We start from the raw sequence: 6774 nt of genomic DNA on the forward strand, positions 1-6774 counted from the left end.
TTATTGAGAATGTTTGCATCAATGTTCATCAAGGATATTGGTCTAAAATCCTCTTTTTTAGTTGTGTCTCTGCCAGGCTTTGTTATCAGGATGATGCTGGCCTCATAAAATGAGTTAGGGAGGATTCCCTCTTTTTCTATTGAATGGAATAGTATCAGAAGGAATGGTACCAACTCCTCCTTGTACCTCTGGTAGAATTCAGCTGTGAATCCATCTGGTCCTGGACTTTTTTTGGATGGTAAGCTATTGATAATTGCCACAATTTCAGAGCCTGTTATTGGTCTATTCAGAGATTCAACTTCTTTCATGTTTAGTCTTGGGAGGGTGTATGTGTCGAGGAATTTATCCATTTCTTCTAGATTTTCTGGTTTATTTGCCTAGAGGTGTTTGTAGTATTCTCTGATGGTAGTTTGTATTTCTGTGAGATCGGTGGTGATATCCCCTTTATCATTTTTTATTGCACCTATTTGATTCTTCTCTCTTTTCTTCTTTATTAGTCTTGCTAGCAGTCTATCGATTTTGTTGATATTTTCAAAAAACCAGCTCCTGGATTCATTAATTTTTTGAAGGGTTTTATGTATCTCTATTTCCTTCAGTTCTTCTCTGATATTAGTTATTTCTTGCCTTCTGCTAGCTTTTGAATGTGTTTGCTCTTGCTTTTCTAGTTCTTTTAATTGTGATGTTAGGTTGTCAATTTTGGATCTTTCTTGCTTTCTCTTGTGGGCATTTAGTGCTATAAATTTCCCTCTACACACTGCTTTGAATGTGTCCCAGAGATTGTTATGTTGTGTATTTATTTTTTTTAAGGAAGAGTCTTGCTCTGTCGCCCAGGCTGGAGTACAGTTGCTCGATCTCAGTTCACTGCACCCTCCACCTCCCAGGTTCAAGCGATTCTCCTGCCTCAGCCTCCTGATTAGCTGGGATTACAGGCGCCTGCCACCACACCCAGATAATTTTTGTATTTTTAGTAGAGAAGAGGTTTCACCATGTTGGCCAGGCTTGTCTCAAACTCCTGACCTCAAGTGATCCACCCACCTCAGCCTCCCAAAGTGCTGGGATTACAGGTGTAAGCCACCGTGCCCTGCCTGTTTCTTGTATTTGATGGTGAAAATCTGTTATTGACAGTAAGAGGATGGGGGCTCAGGTTAACAACAGAGTGTTAGAAAAGCAGCAGTAAAATTTTGGTTCTCAAAACATTTGATGTCTTATTCCTTTTTTTGAACATGGGTTTTGCTAAAAAAAAAAAAGGCCAGGCGTTTTGAAACTTGATTTTATTGTCATGTTCTCATTTTGAAATTCATCTTATTGTTTGTACGAATTGGCAGTCGTATGTGGGAAATTTCAGTTTTGCATACTTTCAGATTATTTTCATTTTTACATCAGAGATTTTGAACAGATGCTATACAAAAGTATTCATGTATTTATTCAACAAAATTTAGTGCTTGTTATGTTGCAAGATCTTAGTGAACTTCATGCTGTACGTGCCTCAGATACTTTTGTGAATGTAATGGCAACGTCAAAAACTTTGCCCTTATGCACCTTATAAACCTTTAATTTCAAGGCATGTTGATGAGTGAGCATCTGCTATAACATACTTTCATTGTCATTTAATTAACCATCATTTGGGTATACCTTATATTAAAACTGATTATTAAAAACTGGAAAATATTTAACACATCTTCATCTTGCCTTTTTCCTTAACATATGTAGATCAAGGGAGTCACTGAGAATCAATTTTAGGGATAGTTATAAAAATCTTAACTTTGCAATATAACTTTGTCCTCAATGTAATAACTGGAAAAAATAATTTACGTTTCAAAGGCTTTAATCTTTGTATTTTTTTGAAAAGGAGCCTTCACCGAGATTCTTTAAAAAATTCTTGCTCTGTCCTACAGTAGAGACTGATAGACTCATGGATATGGTCCTCTAATGGATCTGTACTACCTCAGTTCTCTGATTGTCGCCCTCCTGTGGTGAAAATTAAAGCTTATTTTCATTTCATATTTAGGATGTAATATGTTCTTTTTGGGAAAAAATGATGTTTCTTGAGAAATAAGTGCCTTCAGTATCACTGTGTGTCACTTAATAAATATGACTAATATCTACTTTTACCAATTGCTGCAATTTGATCCTTAAAGAGCCATCTTTAAATCATACTTTTTCTTTGGTTAAAGAAATTATAATAGACATTAATTATTTTTACATAATTTTCTTATGTGGACAGCCATTCTTAGAACTAAAACTTTCAGATGTTTATATTACAAGTACAAATATTATTTATTATTATTAATGTCAGTAGCCAAATGTAATCAACTGTCTTCCTTTTACTTCCTTTTTTGAATCAAAATGTTACACTTATACAAGCAAGAGCAACAGCTCTATATCTGGATCACTCAGTGCCTAGAAGATACAACAGCACAATTTACAAATCCAAATTTCCAGGAAGTCTCTGCACATACCTCTAGTACAAAAGATACTTCAGAGACTAGAGGGTCAGAGGGCAGAGAGGAAATATTCAACTCCCAGTTCAGGTCAAAAGGGAAGAAAGCCTGGTGTTGAAAGAAATCCAAGAATGACTGTATCTGCAACTCGCTCCTTTCTGTAAAGTATTCATGGTGTTTTACTTAAAATATTTGCTCTTATGATGGTCAATAATATTAATAGTTATGCTTTGTAAAAGAATTTATTCTTTACTTATAATTAACGGATCATTCTAAGTTATTATATGTATAGTTGCTATAGTAAGATGATGTGAAAGATTTGTTGCCTGTTAAATGTTTCTGGGATCTTTGCTTTATTTTTATATTATGATCTGTGCTTCCAAAGTTGAGCTGTAATTTTATTGTTTATACAAATGTAGAATAAAGCTTAAGTATGGGGAGAAAAATAAAAGCTAGAGTTTTCCTTTCAGCTATAGAACAGTCATTTATTTCTATAAATGTTCTTTCCTAGTTCCACATTTAAAAAGATAAATATGGGGATCTACACAGGTCTCAGTAAATAATAGTTCTTGATTAATAATGCATTTATTATAAAGCTTAAAGTTTAAAGTAGAATTTTGCTCAGCCTACATATCTTTTATGGTCAGGCTGCTCTAATTATGTAATACCCAGTTAAATTTCAATTTCAGATAAATAAGGAATAATATTTTAGTATAAGCATGTCCCAAATATTGTATGGGATATACTTACACTGAAAAAAGTATTTGTTTATCTGAAATTTCAAATTAACTGGGCATGCTATATTTTCTGTGGCAACCTGTTTTATAGAGAACAGAGTAAGTCAGCTAAATTTTAGAATACTTAACCCTAACCTGGTGTTCTAGGTCTTTCCTTTTTGTAATTATTATTATTATTTGGAGTCAGGGTCGTGCTCCATCACCCAGGCTGGAGTGCAGTGGCACAATCACAGTGCCCTGCAGACTTGAACTTCTGGGCTCAAGTGATTCTGGCACCTCTGCCTTTGCCTCCCAAGTAGCTAGTACCACAGGTACGTGGGCCCAGCTAATTTTTTTTTTTTTTTCTCATAGAGACAGGGTCTCCGGCTGGTCTGGAACTCCTGGGCTCAAGCAATCCTCCCGCCTCTGCCTTCACTTCCCAAATAGCTGAGACCACAGGCACACGCCACCACCATACCCAGCTTATTTTTTATCAGGTTGGTGCAAGAGTAATTGTGGGTTTTGCCATTGAAAGTAATGGCAAAACCAGCAATTACTTTTTGCACCACCCTAATAATTTTTTGTGGAGACAGGGTCTTGCCCTGTTGTCTAGGCTGGTTTCCAGCTCCTGGGCTCGAGTGACCCTCCTGCCTTGGCCTCTAAAAGTTCTGGGATTACAGATGGAAGCCACTGTACCAAGTTACTTTGTATAATTTTTAACATAAACATAAATATTTTCAGAAATAGAAATGTTAAAACCATTGGAGGAAAATATATTGTAAAGTATACAATAGAAAAAAAATCAAACAAAATACAACAAATACAACAAAAAATTATCAAAATATTCAGAGGAACAAAACAAAATCTAGTTTTAAAATCTTCAGAATTCAATCCCATTATATCAAACATATAAAGAAACATATTCAAAGAAAAAGGCAATCAATAGAGACTAACCTCGAGATGACCCAGATGTTGGAATTAGTGTGGATTTTTAAAGTAGTTAGTTATTGTAATTCTTACTAAAATCAAAACCCCAAAAACCCTTAAAATAAATGGATAGGAAATCACAGCAGAGAAGAAGAAACTACAATAATAACAGGCTCAAGTGGAAATTCTAGAAGTGAGAAAGTTTTCAAAATTAAAAAATAATAATCTGTGTTCAGGAGCAGCTTGGAGGTGGAAAAGAGTCAATGAACCTTAAAATACAATTGAAATGATTCAATCTGAAAAATGTGGGCAGTCATAGGTTGGGGTGAGGGAGCTTTTCCTTTGGTTAATGTTTTAGGTAATCTTGGTTCTGATAAGATTACTAGACTGATCCGTCAGGGGCATGCTAAGCCAGAGTTTATCTTGGTTTCAGTAGTGCTTTAAACAAAACTCATATACTTGTGTACAAGATGGAAGAAGAGTGGACCAGATGACAATATTTAGATGCAGCCATTCTTAACCTCCGTTGCTCTCCCAGTGGTCTAGCTGGGGTTTGTATAAAGTGGAATGGGAGGAATAGGGAAGGAGCCCACACCTACCCTCTCCCCTTGTCCACTTGTCCTGCTTCACTAGTGGATAAAGTCCACGGGAACAGGCAAGTTATTTTAAATCTGTATCTTCTGTTGTCAAGATCTGTAATCAGTTCTGCTCGCTGGACTGGGGACAGGAACCAAGGGAACATGAGGGTGAACGGGTTGACATGGAGTCCAGGAACACACTGTGCCTACATGCAGAATGTTTGTGCCAGGAAAGCCAGTCAGCAGGCAGATGGTCTCAGGTACCAAGCTAGTGTTGTGAAGCAAGATTCAGTCTCTTGAAGGCGGTGTTCCTCATTCTGTGGTTTGTATCACTTGCTCAGAATGACCTGGAGTACTTGTTAAAATGCAAATTTTGAGCCCAATCCTAGACCTCCTAAGCCTGCATCTCTACGGATGGGTCTCAGTAGTCGATATTGGAAATGTGCATGTTCCTAGGAGATGCTTATGCATACAGCTGTTGTGTTTAAGGGTTAGGGAGCTGGCAAAAGCAAGGAATACACCAAGCCCTTGGGTGGGAAGGCTCCATAACCTTGACACTGTTAACATTCTGGGCAGAACAGGATTCTGCCGCATGCTTCGCAGCATCCCTAGCCTCTACTCTCTAACACCGTATTCCAGTTGGGAAAACCAAAAATGTCCCCTCGGAGGCAAAATAGTCACCAGTTGGGAACCGGAACCACTGCTTTGTGGGATCAGAGTGGTTACTTTGTTCCCAATCCAAAGATCAGAACACACAATGAGAGAAAGTCCAGCTATTGGAACTGGAGTGTCAAGTTGAAGCTAGACCTACAACAAAAGCTCCAAAAGCTCCTTTATAGGGCTGATCCCATGCCTCAGCTACCTAGCTTGTACAGATGCCATGTAACTCTAGATTTGGTGACAGAAGGAATTTAAGGCTAGAACTAGATAGGGTCTTTCAGGTTAGGCCAGCACACAACGTGGACTTTTGACATCATCCGGATGCTTGAACCAACCTCAGTCTTGAGGCAGAATTTCCCGTGGCATCTGATACACAGCCTGGATTTGGAGCACTCACTGGGATTAGATGCCACGGGAATATTGTGTTTAGGAACTCTGAAAGAGACAGGCTTCAACAAAGCAGACCTAAGCAACACGTAGCGTCTGAACTTCTTTATCAGCTTCCATTCCAGCCCACGAGGACAAAAGCATCACATACATACCCACTGTGGCAAACCTGTCCTCAGTAGGGAGTTTCCCCAGTACTACTCTCCCCTCTGTTCTGAGCCTACTTGCTCCTTTGTAATGTTTCCACTTTCTGTCCCACTCCCTAATAGATGATTTGTCCTCTCTGTCCAGCCCCCTAGTTCTGATATTTGGATTGTCTGTGATCTGGATAGTACTTAGGAGGTAGAATCAAAGCCTTGTTGATTGGATTGGGAGTTTCTAACTTCCTATGAAAGGCACTGCTTAAGCATCTATTGTTTAAAGTAAAGTAAGACTATGATCCATTAAGAAAGATTCCACAAGTAGCGCAGGAAGAATTGGTTTCTAGTACACTTCATGCTTCAGGACAGGAAATCCAGAAAAAAATTCTGTGGTACGTTAAATGTGTACTGTAAGTTTCATTTCCATGTGAAAAACTGTAGTTAGCTAAAAAGTACATCCATGAAGAATCCTGATTAAACTTGTTTAATCCTGGTTATACTAGCTACTAGCTAAACAATAATTTCACAACAACTCAAGAACTCTGTAAAAGCATTTCCTCTGAATATTTCATTCAGAAAAAAAAACACAAAAAGATAAGACAGAGACAAAAATCCCAGTCATCTACAGTATCTGTCAGCTTTCAATTTGGTTCTCTTGTTTAAATAAAGAAAAATAGTAAAATTAATCTATGTAAAACATGCCATATGTATTCAACTGCTACTAAATATAAAAAGCTTTAAAACTGTGTGTTCAATTTTGGTTATTGTATTACCACAACACTTATATTAAAACATGTATACTTTTAAATTTGGTTTCCATAAAAAATGGATTCTAATCTTATAAAAGTTATTTCCTAATATTCAATAAATGTTGCCCAAGGGCTTTTCAATCCAAATAGCAATTTTAATTATTCTGGAATTTAAG

Source organism: Homo sapiens, chromosome 22 (assembly GCF_000001405.40).
Source record: "Homo sapiens chromosome 22, GRCh38.p14 Primary Assembly".
Lineage (NCBI taxonomy): Eukaryota > Metazoa > Chordata > Mammalia > Primates > Hominidae > Homo > Homo sapiens.